At 45.4% G+C, this 25,484-nt stretch overlaps 2 annotated features.

The window, feature by feature from the left end:
• Positions 18,243-18,292: an enhancer, noted in NCBI's record as "active region_7011". NCBI's record gives its function as "activates an Ori minimal core promoter by ATAC-STARR-seq in GM12878 lymphoblastoid cells {active_cell/tissue: GM12878}" and the evidence as "EXISTENCE:reporter gene assay evidence [ECO:0000049][PMID:35858748]".
• Positions 18,313-18,362: an enhancer, noted in NCBI's record as "active region_7010". NCBI's record gives its function as "activates an Ori minimal core promoter by ATAC-STARR-seq in GM12878 lymphoblastoid cells {active_cell/tissue: GM12878}" and the evidence as "EXISTENCE:reporter gene assay evidence [ECO:0000049][PMID:35858748]".

Below are 25,484 nucleotides of genomic sequence, written 5' to 3'. Positions count from 1 at the left end.
AAAAATCATTTTTGTTTTTATTCTTTTCAGATTGAAATTTTCCAAACAGGGACCGGGCACGGTGGCTTACACCTGTAATCCCAGCACTTTGGAAGGCCGAAGCAGGCGGATCATCTGAGGTCAGGAGTTCGAGACCAGCCTGGCCAACATGGTGAAACCCCGTCTCTACTAAAAAACACAAAAATTAGTCAGGCGTGGTGACAGGTGCCTTAATCCCAGCTACTTGGGAGGCAGAGGCAGGAGAATCATTTGAACCCGGGAGGCTGAGGTTGCAGTTAGCCAAGATAAAGCCATTGCACTTAAACCTGGGGGACAAGAGCGAGACTTCTCTCAAAAAAAAAAAAGAAAAGAAAAGAAAAGAAACTTTCCAAACAGGATAAAAGGCACAGAAAAGAAGGCCACTGTGTACTCCTCCAAGATTATTCAGAAATTGACATTTTGCCATGCTTGCTCCACATTTCTTTCTTCTTAGGTTTATAGAGGGATAATTTATATGCAGTATATATTTTTTGTGTAATAGTTTTGATGTAAGGTTTTTCTTACACATCAGGGTACAGGTTTCTTTGGTGGGCAATTCTATGAATATTTCTTCTTTCCTTTTCTATTTTTATTTTTGGGTAGACACAGAGTCTCACTCTGTTGCCCAGGCTGGAGTAAGGTGGTGCAATCATAGCTCACTGCAGCCTTGAACCCCTGGGCTAAAGGGATCCTCCCACTTCAGCCTCTAGAGTAGCTAGGACTACAGGTGCATGCCACACACCCGGCTCAATTTTATGAGTTTTTTTGTTTTTGTTTTTGTTTTTTTGTGACGGAATTTTGCTCTTGTGCCCAGGCTGAAGTGCAATAGCAGAATCTCAGCTCACTGCAACCTCTGGCTCCCGGGTTCAAGCAATTCTCCTGCCTCAGCCTCCCAAGTAGCTGGGATTACAGGCATGTGCCACCATGCCTAGCTAATTTTTTTTGTATTTTTAGTAGAGATGGGGTTTTACCATGTTGGTCAGGCTGGTCTTGAACTCCTGACCTCAAGTGATCCACCCGCCTTGGCCTCCCAAAGTGCTGGAATTACAGGCATGAGCCACCATGTCCAGCCTAGTTTTATGAGTTTTAACAAACACATACAGTCACATTAACCACAACCACAATAAAGATGTAGAACATGTGGGCAAAGTGGCTCACGTTTGTAATCCCAGCACTTTGAGAGACCAAGCCGGGAGAATCACTTGAGGCCAGGAGTTAATAGGCCAGCTTGGGCCATTGGCAAGACCCCATCTCTATGAAAGTAAAAAAATTAGCTGTTTTCCATAATGGCTGTACCATTTTATATTCCCAAACACAGTGCATAAGCATCCCAACTTCTCTAAATCTTTGTCAACACTTATGGTTTTCTGTTCTTTTGATAGTTATCATCCTAATGGGTATAAGTTGATATTTCATGGTTTTGATTTCCCTAATGATTAGTGATGTTGTGAATCTCTTTGTGTGCTTGTTGACCATTGGTATATGTTCTTTGCAGAAATGTCTATCAAGTCAGTTGCCCATTTTTTAATTGGGTTGTTCATTATCATTGTTCAGTTGTAGGAGTTCCCTATATATTCTGGAAATTATCCTCTTATCAGATAAGTGATTTACAGATATTTTCTCCTATTCCATTGGGTTGCCTTTCACTCTGTTGATTTTTACCTTTGATATCCACAAGTTTTTACTCTGATGTGGTTCCATTTGTCTATTTTTTCTTTTGTTGTCTGTGCTTTTGGTGTCTTATCCAAGAAATCATTGCCAAATCTAGTATCCTGAAGCTTTTCCCTTATGTTTTCTTCTAGGAGTTTTGAGGTCTTAACATTTTGAGTTCTTTAATCCATTTTGAGTTTATTTCTGTTATCTGGTATAAAGTAAGGATCCAGCTTCATTCTTCTGCACGTGATTTCCAGTTTTCCCAGCACCATTTGTTGAAGGGACTCTTCTTTCTCCATTGTGTAGTCTTGGCATGCTTGTTGAAACTCCTCTAGCCATATATGCAAAAATTTCTTTCAGTTCATTATTTTTTTATTTTTTACAATTTTTTGTAGAGACGGGGTTTCACTATGTTGCCCAGGTTGATCTCAAACTCCTGCCTCAAATGATCCTCCTGCCTCAGCCTCCCAAAGTGCTGGGATTAGAGGCATGAGCCACCGTGCTTGGCCCAGTCCATTCTTTTTTTTTTTTTTTTTTTTTTGAGATGGAGTTTCGCTCTTGTTGCCCAGGCTGAAGTGCAATGGCATGATCTTGGCTCAGCGCAACCTCCACCTCCTGGGTTCAAATGATTTTCCTGCCTCAGCCTCCCGAATAGCTGGGATTACAGGCATGTGCCACCATGCCCAGCTAATTTTGTATTTTTAGTAGAGACGAGGTTTCTCCATGTTGGTCAGGCTGGTCTTGAACTCCCAACCTCAGGTGATCCACCTGCCTTGGACTCCCAAAGTGCTGGGATTACAGGCATGAGCCACCACGTCCGGCCCCAGTCCATTCTTTTTATTGGTGGCAAGTATTACAAAAATGGCTCCTTTGCAATTTATCCATCCATTCATCAGTTGAAGGAATTTGGGTTTTTCTAGGTTTTGGTGGTTAAAAATAAAACATATGTTTCATTTCTCTTATATACATACCTAGGAGTGAGATTTCTGGGTTTTATGGTCAGTATGTGTTTAAATATATAAGAAACTGCCCAGTTTTTTCCAAAGTGACTGGCCCATTTGCCTTCCCAATAACAAGGTATGAGAGTCCCAGTTTCCCATGCTCACGGGCACTTAGGATGGCCACCTTTGTTTTCATTTTTGTTTTTAGTTATTCTGATAGGTGTATGGTGGCTTCTGCTTGCAGTTTCATTAACTGGCTTTTAAGAAATCCAATCACGGCCCAACGCGGCAGCTCACGCCTGTAATCCCAGCACTTTCGGAGGCCGAGGCAGGTGGATCAGGAGGTCAGGAGTTTGAGACCAGCCTGGCCAACATAGTGAAAACCCGTCTCTACTAAAAATACAAAAAAATTAGCCAGGCGTGGTGGTGGGCACCTGTAATCCTAGCTACTTGGGAGGCTGAGGCAAGGAGAATCACTTGAACTTGGGAGACGGAGGTTGCAGTGAGCTGAGATCGCACCACTTCACTCCAGCCTAATGACAGAGTGAGACTCCGTCTCAAAAAAAAAAAAAAAAGAAAGAAAGAAATCCAATCACCTGGTGACAGCACATCTACATTACATTTTAATCTTGGGGTGCTGAAAGTATTTGTCAAATGTGAAATGAAAAAATAAATTTGTTTTTTCTGTATATAAGGAGCTTCAAAAAATGAAAGTAAGCTGGCTTCCTGGTCCCACTGAGCGACCCTGCTCTCTCCTCCTCCACCGCTATTTCTGTTTCTGTGTTGTAAATATGTTTTCATTCTTTCCTCGGGACCTGCAGATAGTTCCTCTTTCACTTACTTTTTACTGGCTACTGGCAGCCTGTTAGTGAATTCTTCTTCTTCTTCCTCTTTTTTTTTTTTTTTTTTTTCTTGAGACAGAGTTTCACCCTTGTTGCCCAGTCTGGAGTGCAAAGGCGTGATCTTGGCTCACTGCAACCCCCGCCTCCCGGGTTCAAGCGATTCCCCTGCCTCAGCCTCCTGAGTAGCTGGGATCACAGGTACACACCACCTCTCCCGGCTAATTTTTTATTTTTAGTAGAGACGGGGTTTCACCATGTTGGTCAGGCTGGTCTCAAACTCCTGACCTCAGGTGATCCACCCGCCTTGGCCTCCCAAAGTGCTGGGATTACAGGCGTAAGCCACCACGCCCAGCCGTTTTTTGTTTGTTTGTTTTCTTTTTTTTTTTTTGAGATGGAGTCTTTCTCTGTTGCCCAGGCTGGAGTGCAGTGGCACCATCTCGGCTCACTGCTCACTGTAACCTCCACCTCCCAGGGTCAAGCGATTCTCCTGCCTCCGCCTCCCAAGTAGCTGGGATTACAGGCACATGCCACAGCGCCCAGCTAATTTTTGTATTTTCAGTAGAGACAGGGTTTCACAATGTTGGCCAGGCTGGCCTCAAACTCCTGACCTCAAGTGATCCACCCACCTCAGCCTCCCAAAGTGCTGGGATTACAGGCGTGAGCCACTGCCCCTGGTCAGAAATACGTATTCTTCAAGATAAAATCCATCATACTGATGCTTCCAATTAAGACTCCATCCCTCCACCCAAAAAAAAGAGAATAACAATACCAATAACAATACTAATAATACAGAATAATGATACCAATACTACCACACAACCATAGGATTATTTAAAATATGTTAAGAATGTTTTTAGCTGCACACTTTCTTTTTGAGACAGAGTCTCACTCTGTTGCCCAGGCTGGAGTGTAGTGGCATGATCTCAGCTCACTGTGACCTCCACCTCCCAGGTTCAAGAGATTCTCCTGCCTCATCCTCCCGAGTAACTGGGACTGCAGGCGCCTGCCACCACATCCAGCTAATTTTTGTATTTTTAGTAGAGGCGGGGTTTCTCCACATTGGTCAGGCTGGTCTTGAACTGCCGACCTCAGGTGATCCACCCACCTCGGCCTCCCAAAGTGCTGGGATTACAGGCGTGAACCACCGTGCCCAGCCTGCACACTTTCATTTAATCCCTCTGTTTTTAGGATGTTGCCTCGCCTCCAAGTGTTTTCTCTGATTGCTATCCCTGGACCCAGAACTTCTCTGGTTCAAGTTCTCCAGGGAATAAGCATCTCATCTTCTGCAGAGATTGGGGTTAGGGAGTGACAAGGAGGAGAATCAGGGGTCTAACGCTTCCCCCAGATGGTATTTATATTCAATCAATTATTGGTTTTCAGTCCCACCTCTCAGCACAGGGGCCTTCAACCAATTCCTGAGCCTTTCTGGGGTTTATCAGCTCTAAGTGCCTTGCTACTCATTGGCAACTCCTGCAAGAACTAGGGTTTCTCCTCCCAAGTAAACCACTCATCTACATTCTATCTTCTAAAAAGGATTTGAGATCTCTCATGAGCAGTCTTCTCCCACTCTTTGTGGGTTTATACCTCTTTGATTCCTTTGCTAGTATTTTAGGAGTGTTTCAGGAGAGAGCAGAGATAACTGCATGGGCTCAATCTGCCATGTTTCTATATGTTTTATGTAAATATTTTCCTATCAGGCATGGAGAGATAATATAGTGAAATGATTAGAAGCACAGATTCTATAATGGGGGAGGCTAGGCCTGTGTGATCCAGGGGATATATCTCTGTACCTTCTGCTCAATTTTGCTGTGAACCTAAAACTGCTTTTAAAAAGAAGATCTAGGCCAGGCACGGTAGCTCACACCTGTAATCCTGGAACTTTGGGAGGCCAAGACGGGCGGATGGCTTGAGGTCAGGAATTCAAAACCAGCCTGGCAAACATGGTGAAACCCCGTCACTACTAAAAATGCAAAAAAATTAGCTGGGCGTGGTGGTGTGCACCTGTAATCCCAGCTACTTGGGAGGCTAAGACAGGAGAATTGCCTGAACCTAGGAGGTGGAGGTTGCAGTGAGCCGAAATCGCACCACTGCACTCCAGCTTGGGCCACAAAGTGTGATTCTGTCTCAAAAAAAAAAAAAAAAAAAAAGGTCTACTGGGCCGGGCGTAGTGACTCACGCCTGTAATCCCAGCATTTTGGGACGCTAAGGCGAGCAGATCACTTGAGGTCAGGAGTTCCGGACCAGCCTGGCCAACATGGTGAAACCCTTTCTCTACTGAAAAATGTTTAAAAAATACAAAAATTACTGGGGCCTGGTGGCGGGCGCCTGTAGTCACAGCTACTTGGGAGGCTGAGGCACGAGAATCCCTTGAACCCGGGAGGCAGAGGTTGCAGTGAGCTGAGATTGCCTCTGCACTCCAGCCTGGGTGACAGAGTGAGACTCTGTCTTAAAAAAAAAAAAAAAAAGAAAGAAGGAAGGAAAGAAAAGAAAAGAGAAAACGAGCACACTTTCTGAAGCCACAGTGTTTGGGTTCAAATCCCTAGTTCTGCCACTTGCTAGCACTATAACTTTGGGCATGCTTTCTGTGTTCAGATTCTTCGTCTATAAAACAGGGAAATAGTGGTACTTAGGTACCAGTTTTGTGCATACAGCATGGTGTATACAGTATGCAGCATGGCTAACTAAGCCCTCAAAAAGCTTTAAAATGCAGCCTGGACAATATAGCAAGACTCTTTCTCCACAAAAAAACAAAAACAAATTAGCCAGATGTGTTGCCACACACCAGTCCTAGCTACTCGGGAGGCTGAAATGGGAGGATCGCTTGAGCCCTGGAGTTGGAAGCTGCAGTGAGCTATGATCATGCTACTGCACTTCAGCCTGGGTGACAGAGCAAAACCCTGTCTCCATTTAAAAGACAACAAAAGCTGTCCAGGCTTGGTGGCTCACGCCTGTAATCCCAGCACTTTGGGAGGCCGAGGCAGGCGGATCATGAAGTCAGGAGATCGAGACTATCCTGGCTAACACGGTGAAACCCTGTCTCTACTAAAAATACAATAAATTAGCCGGGCGTGGTGGTACACACCTGTAGTCCCAGCTACTCAGGAGGCTGAGGCAAGAGAATTGCTTGAACCCGGGAGGCGGAGGTTGCAGTGAGCCGAGATCACGCCACTTCACTCCAGCCTGGGTGACAGAGCAAGACTCCGTCTTAAAAAATAAATAAATAAATAAAAGCTTAAAAATGTTATTTGAGAAAGGGTGCAGGATTCAGGTTTCCTTAATTGGAAAAGACAAGATGATGTTAATTCTCCAGAAAGCGAAAGGAGAAAATATATGTTAATCTTGCCTCAAAATCGATTGTATGGTCCTCAGGATTTAGCAATTCTGAATAATGCCATTTCACCTATTCCCTGCAGATGGCAGCCTTTGTCACCAAAACTTGGTTCCTCTCACAGGGTTGACCCGGAGCAGAGGACAAAATGCTATTCTTTCATTGGCTCTAGTTCACTCAACAAATATTTACTGAGCACCTACTATGTGCCCGGACCCAGAAACAGCAGTGGTCAAGCAGGCACCAGCATTGCCCTCTCAGAACTTCCAACAGTTCTAGAGCTTCATTCTAAGGAGCTGAGGGGCCCTCCCAAGGAAAGCTTCCATGAGAATGGGCCTTCAGTTACAGAAGCCTTAACAGGAGTCAGAAACAGAATGCCTTCTCGAGCAAAAACGATGTTGCAAAGGACATTACTCACCACCAATTGCTTTCCAGGCCTACCTGCACTTAAAAAGAGCCTTTCATAAGTTCCACCCTCAGAGGAAAGAGCTGGGATATTTTATTTTATTATTTATTTATTTATTTTGAGATGGAGTCTCACTCTGTTGCCCTGGCTGCAGTGCAGTGGCCCAATATAGGCTCACTGCAACCTCTGCCTCCCAAGTTTAAATGATTCTCATGTCTCAACCTCCCGAGTAGCTGGGACTACAGGCGCCCACCACCATGCCTGGCTAATTTTTGCATTTTTATTAGAGACAGGGTTTTGCCATGTTGGCAGGCTGGTCTCGAACTCCTGAGCTCAGGTGATCCACCTGCCTCGGCCTCCCAAAGTGCTGGGATTACAGGTGTGAGCCACCGTGCCCAGCCAAGAGCTGGGATATTTTAAATTAAATAATTCAAACTTAAAGCTGCTGGAACTTTCTTCTGAGCCTTGAGAGGAATGTGGCCATGTAGTATGCAGTTGCAACTTCTGCTTGTCCTGTAAATGATTAGAAATGACCCAGTAGGCCGGGTGCGGTGGCTCACGCCTGTAATCCCAGCACTTTGGGAGGCCAAGACAGGCAAATCACTTGAGATCAGGAGCTGGGGACCAGCCTGGCCAATATGGCGAAACCCCGTTTCTACTAAAAATATAAAAATTGGGCGTGGTGGTGGGCACCTGTAATCCCAGCTACTTGGGAGGCTGAGGCAGAAGAATTGCTTGAACTCAGGAGGCAGAGGTTGCAGTGAGCTGAGATTGCACCACTGCACTCAAGCCTGGGCAATACACAGTGGCTCACGCCTGTAATCCCAGCATTTTGGGAGGCCGAGGCAGACAGATCACAAGGTCAGGAGTTCAAGACCAGCCTGACCAACATGGGGAAACCCTGTCTCTACCAAAAAAAAAAAATAGCCAGGCATGGTGGCACAGGCCTGTAATCCCAGCTACTCAGGAGGCTGAGGCAGGAGAATCACTTGCACCCAGGAGGCGGAGGTTGCAGTGAGCCAAGATCACGCCACTGCACTCCAGCCTGGATGACAGAGGGAAACTCCATCTCAAGAAAAAAAAAAAGAAAGAAATGACCCACTAGCACCAGAGATAAGACCCTCTCAGGACATTACTCCTCTTCATAGAATGTTAAAGCATCTTCCTTGAAATGTAGCAAGCTGTTTTAATCAAATGACTGTAACATACATATGGGCCTTGGATGGAAAATGTTGCAACTCAGCTGCAACTGTTTCTATCTATATAAGTGAAACCTTAGCTTCCTCTCTTTCCAACACTGATCCCATTCCTTTGGAGTATGTGTTTCGCAGGTGATCATCCTCAAACCTTGCACTTGAATAAACTCTGTACTTAATCATATTTTCTAAATCTCGTTATGCAAGTTTGACAGATACTAAGAGGCATTGTCGCCAATGTAGAAAGAGGGTGGCAGGGTTATGGGGTGAGTGAACGGGAAGATTTAGGAAATACAGACCACGGATAACAATTCAAAATGCCCCACCAATTTTTAAACCAAACATCTCCTTTTTAAGAAAAATTATCCAAATTTTGGAAATAAGACCAAGAGAGGGCAGTGTAGTTCTTTCAATGTCATCAAGGACTTTGTTTCACAAGCTCACCCAAAGATTACTTAATTCTCTAGCAGGGATCAGCAAACTCTTTCTGTAAAGGTCCAGGTAGTAAATATTTTAGGCTTTGTGGCTGGTTCCTATCTGTCAACTACTCAACTCTATCGGTCATCATGGTCCACCATTTCTGTACAGCAAAAGCATCCTGGGGAGATACAGAAATAATTGGGTATGGCTGTGTTCCAATAAAACTGTATTTTAGGCCGGGCATGGTGGCTCACACCTGTAATCCCAGCACTTTGGGCGGCCGAGGCGGGAGGATTGCTTGAGGCCAAGAGTTCAAGACCAACATAGTGTGACCCCATCTCTTATTTTTAAAAATAATAAAATTAAAATCTTATTACAAACACAAGCAGCCAGGCCAGATGTAGCCCACCAACTACTTATATAGGCCAGGGACTGTTCCTTTGTTTGCATAGGTATTGATTGATTAAAGGCCCAGATTTTTGTCCAGTACAGTTTTTGGTTGTTTTTTGTTTGTTTTTGTTTTTGAGATGGAGTCTCACTCTGTTGCCTAGGCTGGAGTGCAGTGGCATGATCTCAGCTCACTGCAACCTCCACCTCCTGGGTTCAAGCAATTCTTCTGCCTCAGCCTCCCGAGTAGCTGGGACTACAGGCATGCTCCACCAGCTAATTTTTTTTTTTTTTTTTTTTTAGTAGAGATGGGGTTTTACCGTCTCAGGCTCCTGACTTCAAGTGATCTGCCTGCCTCGGCCTCCCAAAATGCTGGGATTACAGGCATGAGCCACTGTTCCTGGCCTTGTCCAGTAGAGTTTTGAATTATTTCTCTCCAGTACAAAAGAGAATCCCATAGCTTATAGTTCTTATTACCCTGCAGAAGATTAACCAGTTTTGTATCTAAAATTCCCACTTCCTCAAGTACCTACTTCTTCAAAACATTCTCTGAACCAACTTCACCATCCGACTGTTTCCTCTTAGACAAGTAGAATACTTTTCTGACGTGTCAATTCTATATTTGTTTGTTTTGTTTTTTGTTTTGTGTGAGATGGGGTCTCATTCTGTCACCCAGGCTGGAGTACAATGGTGCAATCTTGGCTGACTGCAACCTCCACCTCCGGGCTCATGCCATCTGCCCACCTCAGCCTCTCAAGTAGCTGAGACTATAGGCGCACACCACCATGCCCTGCTAATTTTTGTATTTTTTGTAGAGACAGGGTTTCACCTTATTGCCCAGGCTGGTCTCGAACTCTGGGGCTCAAATTATCTGCCTGCCTCAGCCTTCCAAAGTGCTGGGATTACAGGCATGAGCCACCATGCCGAGCCCTCCATTCTATATTTGAATGAGTCATGCTTTATTTTTATTTTTATTTTTTGAGACAGAGTTTCGCTCTTGTCGCCCAGGCTGCAGTGTAATGGCGCGATCTCAGCTCGCTGCAACCTCCACCTCCTGGGTTCAAGCGATTCTCGTGCGTCAGTCCCCCAAGTAGCTGGGAGTACAGGCGCCTGCCACCACGCCCAGCTAATTTTTATATTTTTAGTAGAGACAGGGCTTCACCATGTTGGCTAAGCTGGTCTCAAACTCTTGACCTTAGGTGATCCGCCTGCCTCCACCTCCCAAAGTGATGGGATTACAGGCGTAAGCCACCGCATCTGGCCCTCTCCCCACCTTCTTAATTTCATTTTCTACCTCCCCATCATTCCCTACACACTTTGGCCACACCGACCCTTTGCCTAATCCTCTAACAACTCACACTTTAAAGAAAAACTTTGGCTGGGCACGGTGGCTCACACCTGTAATCTTAGCACTTTGAGAAGCCGAGGTGGGTAGATTGCCTGAGCTCAGGAGTTCAAGACCAGCTTGGGCAACATGGTGAAACCCCGTCTCTACTAAAATACAATAAAAAATTAGCTGGGCATGGCGGCGTGCACCTGTAATTCCAGCTACTTGGAAGGCTGAGGCAGGAGAATCGCTTGAACTAGGGAGGCGGAGGTTGCAGTGATCCGAGATTGTGCCACTGCACTCCAGCCTGGTGACAGAGCGAGACTCCATCTACAAAAGAAAAAAAAAAAGATTTAATTGTGGTAAAATATATATAACAGAAAATTTCAGAAACCATCTTTAGGTGTACAGTTCAGTGGTAGTAAGTACAATTCACACTGTTGTGCAGCCATCAACACAGCCCATCTCCAGAATTCTTTTTCATCTTGCCAAACTGAAACTCTGTACCCATCAAACAATAATTCCCCATTCCTCCGCCCCCCCAACCCCTAGCAACCACCATTCTGCTTTCTGTCTTTATGAATTTGACTACCCTAGGTATCAAATTCCATTTAAGTGGAACCATAAAGTATTTGTCTGCCTGTGACTGGCTTATTTCACTTAGCATAATGTCCTTTAAGAAGTATATCCCTGTTGTAGCCTGTGTTAAGATTTAAATTTTTTTTCTTTTTTTCTTTTTTTTTTTTTTTTTTGCTCTGTCACCCTGGCTGGTGTGCACTGGCATGATCTCAGCTCACTGCAACCTCTGCCTCCTGAGTTCAAGCAATTCTCCTGCCTCAGCCTCCCTAATAGCTGGGATTATAGGCATGTACCACCATGCCCAACTAATCTTAGTATTTTTAGTAGAGATGGGGTTTCACCATGTTGGCCAGGCTGGTCTCGAACTCCTGACCTCAAGTGACCCACTCACCTCGGCCTCCCAAAGTGCTAGGATTATAGGTGTGAGCCCCCATGCCTGGCTCCTCCTTTTTTTCTCTTTTCTTTTTTAGAGACAAGGTGTCACTCTATCACCCATTTTGGGGGACAGTGGCACACTCATAGTTCACTGTAATCTTGAACTCCTGGACTCAAGTGATCCTCCCACCTCAGCTTCTCCAGTAGCTAAAACTATAGGTACACACCACCATGCCAAGTTAAAAAAAATTTTCTTTTGAGAGATGGGATCTTGCTATGTTGTCCAGGCTGGTCTCAAACTCCTAGGCTACAATGATCCTCCTGCCTCACCCTCCCAAAGTGCTGGAGTTACAAGTATGAGCAATAGCACCCAATCAGAACTTCCTTCCTGTTTAAGACTAAATAGCCGAGCGAGGGGCTCACGCCTGTAATCCCAGCACTTTGGGAGGCTGAGGCAGGCAGATCACAAGGTCAAGAGATGGAGACCATCCTGGCCAACATGGTGAAACCCCGTCTCTACTAAAAATACAAAAATTAGCTGGGTGTGTTGGCACGCACCTGTAGTCCCAGCTACTCGGGAGGCTGAGGCAGGAGAATCACTTGAACTTGGGAGGCAGAGGTTGCAGTGAGCCAAGATCATGCCACTGCACTCCAGCCTGGCGACAGAGCGAGACTCCACCTCAAAAAGCAAAAAAAGACTAAATAATATTTCACTGTATGGGCTAGGCGCGGTGGCTCACGCCTGTAATCCCAGCACTTTGGGAGGCTAAGGTAGGTGGATCACGAGGTCAGGAGATTGAGACCATCCTGGCTAACACAGTGAAACCCTGTCTCTACTAAAAACACAAAACATTAGCCGGGCGTGGGGGCGGGTGCCTGTTGTCCCAGCTACTTGGGAGGCTGAGGCAGGAGAATGGCATGAAACCAGGAGGCAGAGCTTGCAGTGAGCCAAGATCACACCACTGCACTCCAGCCTGGGCGACAGAGCAAGACTCTGTCTCAAAAAAAAAAAAAAATTCACTGTATGGATGGACCATATTTTCCTCATCCATTAATCTGTCAAAGGACAATCAGATTGCTACCATGCCTTGGCTATTGTGAATAATGCTGCTACAAACATGGATGAACAAATATCTGTCTGAATCCCCACGTGTGTGTGTGTGTGAGAGAGAGAGACAGTGTCGCTCTGTTGCCCAGGCTGAGAGTGCAGTGGTGCATCCCAGCTTACTGCAATCTCCGCCTCCAAGGTTCACGCCATCCTCCAGCCTCAGCCTCTCAAAGTGCTGGGATTACAGGCATGCACCACCACATCCAACCAATTTTTGTATTTTTAGTAGAGACGGGATTTCGCCATGGTGGCCAGGCTGGTCTCAAACTCCTGACCTCAAGTGATCTGCCCACCTTGGCCTCCCAAAGTGCTGAGATTAAAGGCATGAGCCACTGTGCCCAGCCAAGTCCTCACTTTCAATTCCTTTGGGTATATACTCAGAAGTGGAATTGCTAAATTATATGGTAATTCAATTTTTAATTTTTGAGGAGCCACCATACTGTTTTCCATAATGACTACCATTTTACATTGCCAGCAACAGAGCACAAGGTTTCCAATTTCTCCACATCCTCACCAACACTTCTTATTTTCTGGGTTTTGTTTTCGTTTTTGTTTTTGTTTTTGAGACCGAGTTTCGCTCTTGTTGCCCAGGCTAGAGTGCAATGGCACGATCTTGCATCACCACAACCTCCTCTCCCGGGTTCAAGCGATTCTCCTGCCTCAGCCTCCTGAGTAGCTGGGGTTACAGGCATGTGCCACCAGGCCTGGCTAATTTTGTATTTTTAGTAGAGACGGGGTTTCTCCACGTTGGTCAGGCAACTCGAACTCCCGACCTCAGGTGATCTGCCCACCTTGGCCTCCCAAAGTGCTGGGATTACAGGCGTGAGCCACCGCACCTGGCCTGTATTCTGTTTTTCTGTTTGTTTGTTTGTTTTTGTTTTTGTTTTGTAGAGACAAAGTCTTCCTCTGTCTCCCAGGCTGGAATGCTGTGGCATGATCACGGCTCAATGCAGCCTCATCCTCCTGGGCTCAAGCAATCCTTTCACCTCAGCCTCCCAAATAGTTGGGACTACAGGTGTGTGCCACAACTCCTGGATAGTTTTTTTTATTTTTAGTAGAGATGAGGTCTTGCTAAGTTGCCCAGGCTAGTCTTGAACTCCTGAGCTCAAGCGATCCTCCCTGCTCAGCCTCCCAAAGTGCTAGGGTGACAGGTGTGAGCCATATTATCTGGATATTAATCCTTTATCAAATATATGACTTGCAAAAATTTTCCCTCATTCTGTTGCTTGCCTTTTTGTTGATTGTGTCTGATGCACAGAAGCTTTAAATTTTGATACAATCCAACTGATGTATTTTTTCTTTTGTTGCCTGTGCTTTTGGTGTCGTATCCAAAAAAATCACGGCCAAATCCAATGTCATGAAGCTTTCTCCCTCTGTTTTTTTTCTAAGAATTTTATAGTTTTGGCTCTGACACACAGATCTTTGATCAATTTTGAGGAACTTTTATTACTTTTTTTTTTTTTTTTTTGAAACAGGGTCTTACTGTGTCACCCAGGCTGGAGCCTCAACCTCCCGGGCTCAAGCGATCCTCTCACCTCAGCCTCTCGAGTAGCTAGGACTACAGGCATGTGCCACCATGCCCGGCTAATTTTTGTATTTTAGTAGAGATGGGATTTTACCATGTTGGCCTGGCTGGTCTCAAATTCTTGGGCTCAAGCAATCCGCCCACCTCGGCCTCCCAAAGTGCAGGGATTACAGGTGTGAACCACCGCACCCAGCTAAACTGTATCTTTTAATGTGGTCAAGTTGATCTAAATTTTCCTTAACAGCTTGTGCACTTTTATATATTATTGAAGCTGCCATTTCTTATCCCAATATTCTATATTTTATTCTAAGACTTTTCAATATTTCTTTTTACTCTTGGAATTTACTCTTGTATATAATGTGAGTTTGGGACCCAGTTTAACTTTTTTTTTTTTAAAGACAGAGTCTCACTTTGTTGCCCAGGCTGGAGTGCAGTGGCATGATCTTGGCTAACTGCAACTTCTGCCTCCTGGGCTTAAGCGATTCTCTTGCCTCAGCCTCCTGAGTAGCTGGGACTACAGGCATAAGCCACCACACCAGTTAATTTCTGTATTTTAGTAGAGATTGGATTTCGCTATGTTGATCAGGCTAGTCTCAAACTCCTGGCCTCAAGTGATTTATCCGCCTCGGCCTCCCAAAGTGCTGAGATTATAGGCGTGAGCCGCCATGCCTAGCCCACCGTTTAATTTTTCAGAGAGATAACCAATGTTCTCACACCATTTAAAAAATAATTTATTTTTTGGCCAGCCACGGTGGCTCACACCTGTAATCCCAGAACTTTGGGAGGCCAAGACAGGTGGATTGCCTGAGCTCAGGATTTCGAGGTCAGCAGGGGGAACATGGTGAAACCTCGTCTGTAAAAAAAATAAAAAATAAATACAAAAGTTAGCCAGGTGTGTAACACGGTGAAACCCATCTCTACTAAAAATAGAAAAAATTAGCTGGGCTTGGTGGCAGGTGCCTGTAGTCCCAGCTACTCAGGAGGCTGAAGCAGGAGAATGGCGTGAATCCGGGAGGCAGAGCTTGCAGAGAGCCGAGATCGCACCCCTGCGCTCCAGCCTGGGTGACAGAGTGAGACTCCATCTCAAAAAAAAAGAAAGTTAGCTAGGTGTGTTGGCACACACCTGTAGTTCCTGTACTCAGGAGGCTGAGGTGGCAGGATCACTTGAGCTTGGGAGGTAGAGGCTACAGTGAGCCGAGACTGCACCACTGCACTCCAGCCTGGGTGACAGAGTAAAACACTGTCTCAAAATATATGTATATTATTTTTTCCCGTAATTTGTAATATTACTGCAACTTCCTTTCAAGTTGTTGTATATTTGTGGGTCTCTTCTCTTAATATCTACCTAGCGGGCTGGGCGCGGTGGCTCACGCCTGTAATCCCAGCACTTCGGGAGGCTGAAGCAGGTGGATCACCTGAGACCAGCCTGACCAACATGGAGAAACCCCGTCTGTACTAAAAATCCTAAATTAGCTGGGTGTGGTGGTGCATACCTGTAATCCCAGCTACTCGGGAGGCTGAGGCAGGAGAATTGCTTGAACCCGGGAGGCGGAGGTTGTGGTGAGCCGAGATCGTGTCATTGCACTCCAGCCTGGGCAACAAGAGTGAAACTCCATCTCAAAAAAAAAAAAAAAAAAAAATATATATATATATATATATACATATATGTATATATATATATATATATATCCCCCTAGTTAAGCCTTCAAAAATTCACTTCTCTTCCACATCTGTTTGGCTTGTCTACTAAGATCACAGTTCTAGCTCTTTATAAAAGATCCCTGTAATCCCAGCACTTTGGGAGACTGAGGTGGGAGGATTGCTTGAGCCCAGGAGTTTGAGGCTGCAGTGAGCTATGATCGGGCCACTGCACTCCAGCCTGGGTGATAGAGCAAGATCATGTTTTTTTTAAAAAAAAATCCCACCCTCCTCCAGTTTAGTCAGCAGATCTTCCTTTATTTGTCTTTCACTCTTCTGCTGGTTCTGTTCTGGTAGCACAACAGAAGCATATTTTTTTTATATTTATTTATTTATTTATTTATTTATTTATTTATTTAGAGACGGAGTCTCACTTTGTTGCCCAGGCCAGGCTGGCTGAATCTCAGCTCACTGCAACCTCCACCTCCTGGGTTCAAGGGATTCTCCTGCCTCAGCCTCGCAAGTAGCTGGGATTACAGGCATGCGCCACCACCACACCCAGCTAATGTTTGTATTTTTAGTGGAGATGGGGTTTCACCATGTTGGCCAGGCTGGTCTCAAACACCCGATCTCAGATGATCCACCAACCTTGGCCTCCCATAGTGCTGGGATTACAGACATGAGCCACCATGCCCAGCCCAGAAGCATATTTTAAAACACAACCCAGGCTAGGTGCGGTGGCTAATGCCTGTAATCCCAGCACTTTCAGCAGCGGAGGCATGGTGAAACCCTGTCTCTACTAAAAATTTTTAAAAATTGGCTGGGTGTGGTGGCACATGCCTGTAACCCCAGCTACTCGGGAGGCTGAAGCATGAGAATCGCTTGAGCCCAGGAGGCGGAGGCTGCAGTGAGCCAAGATTGCACCACTGCACTTCAGCCTGGGTGACAGAGTGAGACTCCATCTCAAAAAAAAAAAAAAACCACACACAACCCAGGCTGGCCACGGTGGCTCACACCTGTAATCCCAGCACTTTGGGAGGCTGAGGCAGGCGGACTGCTTGAGCTCAGGAGTTCAAGACCAGCCTGGCCAACATGGTAAAACCCTGTCTCTACAAAAAATAAAAAAAAATCCAAGTGTTGGTGGCTCACGCCTGTAGTCCCAGCTACTTGCCAAGCTGAGGCGGGAGGATTGCTTGAACCTGGGAGGTGGAAGTTGCAGTGAGCCAAGATCGCACCGTGCACTCCATGCACTCCAGCCTGGGCAACAGAGTAAGACCCTGGCTCAAAAAAAAAAAACCCACAAAAAAACAAAACCAAACAACCCAGGTCCAGGTCCTCCTTGATTTCTCAAGCAAACCTGTTTCTCAGAAACAAAAGTTTCAAGGCATAAGCCTCACTGTTTTCTTATCTTATGGGTCTTCATTCAATTTATCTACCTCCACCCGCAAAGAAGCATATCTCCTATACAATAAGGGCCCTGTTCTTTTCATTTGTTTTCACTAATAAAATATACCCCCATTCTATGGGTAAAGCCAGAGTCTGAGCTCTCCAAATGCTAAACCGTGATCAAAGTTCATGCAATTCACAAATCAAAGTCAACTTGCCCAGCCGCAAGTGTTGCTTAAAGAGGTATTACAAAAAGCAAAAATCTACCCGCCGGAGTCTACAGGTTGGTAAACTAAAGTTCTGCCCTTTTGAAGGTAAGCCTGCTCTGGGACAGAAAGACTTTTCCCCCAATAATCGAATCCCTGTCCCGCCTGCCTGCTGAGGTCAAGGCTGTACTCACATGAGTTAGGTCAAGGCCTGCCCTAGAGGCCCTTGTACTCAGGCTCCAGCCAGTTAAAATCCTGTGGAACCACTGTAACTGTCACAAACTACCCAGGTCAGGAACACACTTGACCCGTAATTACCTTTAAGCCTGGAGCCCTGACAACACCAGAAATTTGATCTCCACAGGACTGCCTCTCAAAGTTTTCTAAAGAAAATATGTAAATTAACATGTTGGGGTTTCATGGGGCTGATAATTAATTGCACCCTCCTTAGCCTTTCCAAATTCCAAATCCACTGAGAAAAAGATATATGAATCAGGAAACTAGAGCTCTAGAGTTTGTTTTCTGGATAAGGCTGATTGGAGAATGTGGCTTTAGTGGTGCATGCAATTTCCCTCTGGATTAAACTAATTTACCCAGCCACAGGCTGGGTTACTGCAAATGTCTTTCACAGGGACAGGCTCCTCATGGTGAAGGAGGAAAACAGCAGTGTCTAAAGGTCAGGCCATAGCAAAAAGAAAAAAAGAGAAAGGGACCAGGCAACAAACTCAGCATCTTCTCCCAAACCCACTATTAGGCAAATCACTCCTCACTCATGGAGGTACCAGAGAAAGGGATGAGTTTTCCTTCAGTAGCTTCTCTATTGAAAAGCGGAAGTTCCCTCTCTGCTTATATAAGTAAGTAGAGGATAAGTTCCCTTCAAACAGTTGCTTTTGGTTTCGGGATTTGTTTTTGATTTAGTAACTGTAGTCATGGTACTTGGATCACGTGATGTGTTTGTTAGAATTCACTGCATTACAAGGCAAAATCAAAGTGGCTAAAGCAACATAGGGAACTCATATTAGTTCAGAGACTGATCCTCCCTCAGGCAAAGCTGGATTCAGGGTTTGATTGACATTTACCAGGCCTCTGTTTCTTACCATCTCTAGGCTCTGCTTCTCTCTGTATTGACTTCATTCTCAGGCTGGTTCTTCCCAAGTATCAGCAAAAATGGCCATCAGACCGGGTACGGTGGCTCACACCTGTAATCTCAGAACTTCGGGAGGTTGAGATGGGCAGATCACTTGAGTTCAGGAGTTCAAGACCAGCCTGGCCAACATGGTAAAACCCCATCTTTACTAAAAATACAAATATTAGCCAGGCGTGGTGGCAGCTGCCTGTAATCCCAGCTACTTGGGAGACTGAGGCAGGAGAACTGCTTGAACCCGAGAGGCGAGGTTGCAGTGAGCCAAGATCGCACTAATGCACTCCTGCCTGGGCAACAGAGCAAGACTCCATCTCAACAATAACAACAACAACAAAAGAAAAGAAAAAAATGGCCATCAGCAGCTCCAAGCTTGCATTCTACCAGCTTAGAAACAAACCTTGGTGATAATTTCTCCTTCCTAACACTTTCAGCAAAATCCCATAATGAAGTTTCCTTGGTCTGGCTTGGGTCATGTGCCTTCTCTCTGGACCAACCACTGCTAGCAACAGAATATAATGCTGTGATTGGCCAGACCTAGGCCACATGTTCATCCTTGGAGCCCTGGTCCAGTTCCACATAAACTGCATGAACCTAGGGGGTGTTGGATTGTTCCTCCAAGGAAAATCAAAATACAATAATCAGAGAAGCAGGAGAATGGATTCTAGGGGGGAAAAACATGACCATCACACATGACGCAAAGCAAGATGAGTTAAAGGGAAAGAACAGCCAAAGGTTAGTGACTTCGAAAGGGCTTTGCAGTGAAGGCATTAAGTGTCTCAGGGACACTTCTCCAGTTCAGCCCAGCTCTGCCTAGCGAGTTGAATATATTACTCAACGCTTTCTTCAGCTTGTTGCTTGTTACATGTGATTTCCCAGGTTCTTGTATTCAACAGCATTCACTTGTTAGGTTATTTATTTAGCACCTATTATATGCCAGACATTATTTTGGACACCATATAAAGTCTTTTTTTTTTTTCTTTTTTATACAAGGCCTCACTCTGTTGCCCAGCCTGGAGTACACTGGTATGATCACAGCTCATGGCAACTTCCACCTCCCCTGGCTCAGGTGATTCTCCCATCTCAGCCTCTTGAGTAGGACTACAGGTGTATGCCACCACACCTGGCCAGTTTTTGGGTTTTTTTTTTTTTCTTTGTACAGACAGGGTCTCATTATATTGTCCAGGCTGGTCTTGAACTCCTGGCCTCAAGTGATCCTCCTGCCTCCGCCTCCCAAAATACTGGGATTACAGGCGTGAGCCACTGCATCTGGCCTAAAGTCATGAATAAAACAGACAAAATTTCCTGCTCTCGTGGCATTTATCATTTAGTCAGGGAGGAGACAAACATTCAACAAAATAAATAAGCACTATGTGTTATGAAGAAAAATGCAGATGGCACTATTGGGTGATTTAAATAGGTGATCAGGCCAGGCACGGAGGCTCATGCCTGTAAATCCAGCACTTTGGGAGGCCGAGGCAGGTAGAACACGAGGTCAGGAGGTCGAGACCATCCTGGCCAACATGGTGAAACCCCATCTCTACTAAAATACAAAAAAAAAATTTGCTGGGCGTGGTGGCATGTGCCTGTAGTCCCAGCTACTCAGGAGGCTGAGGCAGGGGAATCACCTGAACGCAGGAGGTGGAGGTTGCAGTGAACCGAGATCACGCCATTGCACTCCAGCCTGGCCACAGAGCAAGACTCTGTCTCAAAAAAAAAAAAAAAAAGTGATCAGAGAAGAGGATGCAGGCCAGGTGTGTGGTGGCTCACACCTGTAATCCCAGCACTTTGGGAGGCTGAGGTGGGCAGATCACTTGAGGCCAGGAGTTTGAGATCAGCCTGGCCAACATGGGAAAACCCTGTCTGTACTAAAAACACAAAAATTAGCCAGGCATGGTGGCACACGCCTGTAGTCTCAACTACTCAGGAGGCTGAGGCAGGAGAATCACTTGAACTCGGGAGGTGGAGGTTGCAGTGAGCTGAGATCGCATGACTGCACTCCAGCCTGGGCAACAATGTGAGACTCTGTCTCAAAAAAAAAAAAGAGAAGAGGATGCGGATGCAGGCAAAACACATGGTACATGCTTAACCCATGGGCTCCATTGCTCTTATTCTTGTTATTATCATTACCACTATTATTATTTGGCATATTAAAGGCATTTGGTGACCCCTTGCTGTCTCCAGCATTAAGTAGCCTCAGCTTAGCATATAAGACCCCCTGCATTAGGTCCTAAATTCTTCTTATTATTTTTTTGAGACAGAGTCTCACTCTGTCGCCCAGGCTGGAGTGCAGTGGCATGAACTTAGCTCACTGCAACCTCCGCCTCCTGGGTTCAAGTGATTCTCCTGCCTCAGCCTCCCGAGTAGCTGAGATTACAGGCGCCCACCACTACACCTGGCTAATTTTTATATTTTAGTAGAGACAGGGTTTCACCATATTAGCCAGGTTGGTCTCGAAATCCTGACCTCAGGTAATCCGCTCACCTCGGCCTCTCAAAGTGCTGGAATTACAGGCATGAGCCACCATGCCTGGCACTAAATTATTTTTTAATTGAGATATAAATCACATAATATTCATCCCCCCACCCCGTTTTTTGAGACAGGGTCTCACTTGTGCTGCCTAAGCTGAAGTGCAGTGGCACGATCACAGTTCACTGCAGTCTTGACCTCCCATGCTCAAGCAATCCTCCCACCTCAGCCTCTCAAGTAGCTGGGACTGTAGATGTGCACCAGTATACTCAGCCAAATTTTTTTTTTAGATGGAATCTCGCTTTGTCGCCAGGCTGGAGTGCCGTGGCGCAATCTTGGCTCACTGCAACCTCTGATTCCCTGGTTCAAGTGATTCTCCTGCCTCAGCCTCCCTAGTAGCTGGGATTACAGGCACGGGCCACCATGCTTAGCTAATTTTTTCTGTATTTTTTAGTAGAGACGGGTTTTCACCATGTTGGCCAGGATGGTCTCGATCTCCTGATCTCGTGATCTGCCCGCCTCAGCCTCCCAAAGTGCTGGGATTACAGGAATTTTTTGATTTTTTATTGAGAAGAGGTCTCACTATGTTGCCCAGGCTGGTCTTGAACTCCTGGACTCGAGCAATCCTCCTGCCCCGGCCTCCCAAAGTGCTGGGATTACAGGCATGAGCCACCATGCCCGGCCATATTCACCTTTTTAAAGTGTATAGTTCAGCGATTATTCATATATTTATAAACTTGTGCAACCATTGCCACTATCTACTTCCAGAATATTTTCACCACTCCAAATAGAAACCCTGTACCCATGAGCAGTCACTCCCCATTTGTCCCTTCCCCAAGTCCCTGGCAACCACTAATCTACTTTCTGTCTCTATGGATTTGCCTATTCTGGACATTTCATATAAATGGAATCATACAGTATGTGGTATTTTGTGTCTGACTCCTTAAAATACTGCTTTTGTTTGTTTTAGAAATGGGGTCTCACTACATTGTCCAGGGTGGAGTGCAGTAGCAATTCACAGGCTCCATCCTGACACTCTATAACCTTAGCCTCCCAGGTAACTGGGACTACAGGCACTTGCCAGCTTGCCCAGCTCTTAGCCTCACCATTTTTTTTTTTGAGACAGGGTCTCACTCTGTCACCTAGACTGGAGTGCAGTGGCATGATCTTGGCTCACCGCAACCTCCGCCTCCCAGGCTCAAGTGATTCTCTTGCCTCAGCCTCCCGAGTAGCTGGGATTACAGGTGCACGCCACTACCGCCCGGCTAATTTTTGTATTTTTAGTAGAGATGGGGTTTCACCATGTTGGCCAGGCTGGTCTGGAACCCCTGACCTCAAGTGATCCACCCGCCTTGGCCTCCCTAAGTGCTTGGATTACAGGCGTGAGCCACTGCACCTGGCCCAGCCCCACCATTTATTATTATTCGTTTTTCAGATCCTAAGGTTGCATTGCTCTTCTCCAATCACATTCTGCATTCATTGAATATCCTTTTCCTCCTCTTGAGCTGGTTATGCCGCATGACAGACAGAGAGACTTGTCTGTCCGTTCAGGCCTCTCACAAATGTCATGTCTTTGTGAAGTGCCCCAGGTGTTCTCTAACCCCAGAGGGTCTCATTTCCCCTTCCCAGACCCCTCCTTTATTTCAGCTTGTGGTGCTTATTATTATTTTATTTATTTACTTTGAGCCAGAGCCTTGCTCTGTTGCCCCAGCTGGAGTGCAGTGGCGTGATCTTGGCCTATTGCAACCTCTACTTCCCGGGTTCAAGTGATTCTCCTGCCTTAGCCTCCCAACTAGCTGGGATCACAGGCGTGCACCACCATTCCCAGCTAATTTTTGTATTTTTAGTAGACCCAGGGTTTCGCCATGTTGGCCAGGCTGGTCTCGAACTTCTGACCTCAAGTGATCCACCCCCCACTCGGCCTCCCAAAGTGCTGGGATTACAGGCATTAGCCACCGCACCCAGTCTGTTATTATTATTTTAATACATTTACTTAATTTTAACCTTCCTACTGCACTGTGACTGCCACAAAATCACTGATTTTTTTTATCCTTAGCCTAGAGACTTGAACATAATAAGTGCTCAACAAATATTTGCTCATTTGCATGGCATTGCCGTAATACAGTGGCTCTAAATCAGGGAGCAATTTTGCCCCCCAGGGGACATTTGGCAATATCTGGAGACAGTTTTGGTTGTCCTGGGGGCACAGAGGTGGCATGCTTCTGGCTTCTAGTGGGTAGAGGCCAGGGATGCTGCTAAGCCCCCTCCAACGCATGCACAGGACAGCCCTAACAGCAAAGAATCATCCTGCCCAAAATGTCAATAGTGTCAAGCTTGAGACACCTTGCTGTAAGCTAATTAGTGCTCATTGTGAATAGGTTAGCAAAAAGGAACCCAAAGAGATCAACCTACCAGTCTGGCAGAAAATCTCACTAGGAAATGTCATGCCTTCTTTTTGTTGTTGTTGTTTGTTTGGTTTTTTTAGGAGCGGAGGCTGACTTTAGTGCAAAGCTCTTTCCTAATGTCATAGAGGTGCCCTGGGAGCCCAGATGGTATTTTCACCACACTTGTTCACCTTTAAGAGTGGCAACTGACCTCTCAGGAATCCCTGAAGTGCTAGGAATGTAACTCTGTTAAGGAAGAAAATCCAGGCCTTTTTAAGTCCAACAAAATGTCAAACGTGAATTGTGTTCCTGGGAGAAGGAACGGGAAGGGAGGTGTTTTGTAAAGTACCCTCTCCTGGCTTCCCCCATGGTGATGAAACTTCAGAGCTGGCTCTGGAATAAATGATTCAAGAGAACCCGAGGCCCTATCTCCTGTTCCTTTAAAACTTGCAAAGGAGCTTTGAGAAGGATTCTGTTCGCCACGTGCTTCTGTGGGCAACTCATTTGCAGGAAACTCACTTGCAGGAAATTCATTTGCCGGAAACTCAAGGCACTGGTATCACTTAATCATGAAAACAGCAGCCCCATCGGAGCAGAAGTTACTGGCTTTAGAGTCACATTTTAGGTTCCTACTCATCCCATCAAACCAGTTCTTGTGACTGACATGGAAATTAGGTAATATATGCCCTGAAAAGGAAAAGTAGGAGCAGTCTGAAGGAGTTTGACGAGGCAAGAAATAGGGTTGACATGCTATTTTAAAAAGTTTGTCCTTGGGGTAGAATTACCTGCCAGACTGACTGGGATCTGGTAGTGGTATGTGTACTTGAAAGAGCTACCTTTAGCACAGCTGGCAGCAATATAAATGCCAAGTAGAGGATTCCGAGAGGCACTACCCCCTCTTCTGGGCACTCTCCAATTCTTGTGCCATTAAAAAAAAGGAAGGTGTGAATGCATTATTGTCATTACTATACCATTTATCCAGTAAATGAACATTTTCTGGGTTCTGTATATTTGACAAAATGCCACTACGTGAAGTCATTTCTTCCGTCCAATTTTGATGAAAGCTCTTAAAGACAGAAACATATATATAGACAGTACTTGGCACACTGTGAACTGCAAAAGTGTTTAATGATGACAGTAATTAGGATAACGGAATAATATGTGTTGAGTTGATAGTTGGCAGCATTTTAAATATATTAAGAAAGCATAAAAAAGGACCATTTAAAAACGAGGTGGGAATCCCCAAAGTAACAATGGTCTTGTTAAAAGTGAACTAGAAAAAGACTGCTGTTTCTGAGAAATATATGTTTCAATCAAACTAAAAATTACTCTAAATTGAATTACTTGCCCCAAAGCTCATTTTCTGTTGTTTGTGAACCCCATTCACTCAATCATTCCTGTATTCAACAAACATGACTTTCTTTTATCATTTGTGTTCTTATTCCATTACTCCTTCCTTTTTTTTTTTTTGAGATGGAGTCCAGCTCTGTCTCCCAGGCTGGAATGCAGTGGCGCTGTCTCGGCTCACTGCAACCTCTGCCTCCCAGGTTCAAGCGATTCTCCTGTCTCAGCCTCCTGAGTAGCTGGCATTACAATCGTTTGTCACCAAGCCCAGCTAATTTTTTTTTGTATTTTCAGTAGAGACCATGTTGGCCAGGCTGGTGTTGAACTCCTGACCTCAAGTGATCTGCCCACCTCGGCCTTCCAAAGTGCTGGGATTACAGGTGTGAGCCACCACGCCCAGCCCATTATTCCTTCTTTTATTCCACAGACATTTACACACTCTCCTACTGTGTGCCAGGCATTGCTTTAGATTCTAATAATTGAGCAGCAAATGATCCTTGTCCTTGGGAAACTTAGAATCTAGTGAAATATTCATTCATTCTTTCATTCATTCACATATTTACTGGGTGCTCACGTGTTCTGGGGATACAGCAACAGAAAACACAGGACCCTCAGGTAAACGAATTACATTCCAAAGGGTAGAAGCGAAAGCAAGGGCAAAGGTCTTGAGACAGCTGTGAGCATGGCTAGAGGCCAGTTAGCAAAAGGGACATGACACCATCTGTGTCCCCTCCCACTCTGATAGGGACACATAACATTTTCTCAATTTTTCCTAAAAGACTACAAAAAGTCTCTTCTTTCCAAACAGTTT

The sequence above is a fragment of the Homo sapiens genome, chromosome 12 (assembly GCF_000001405.40).
Source record: "Homo sapiens chromosome 12, GRCh38.p14 Primary Assembly".
Lineage (NCBI taxonomy): Eukaryota > Metazoa > Chordata > Mammalia > Primates > Hominidae > Homo > Homo sapiens.
The sequence above is the reverse complement of the archived record's forward strand: the minus strand, read 5'-3'. Positions and strand labels throughout refer to the sequence as shown.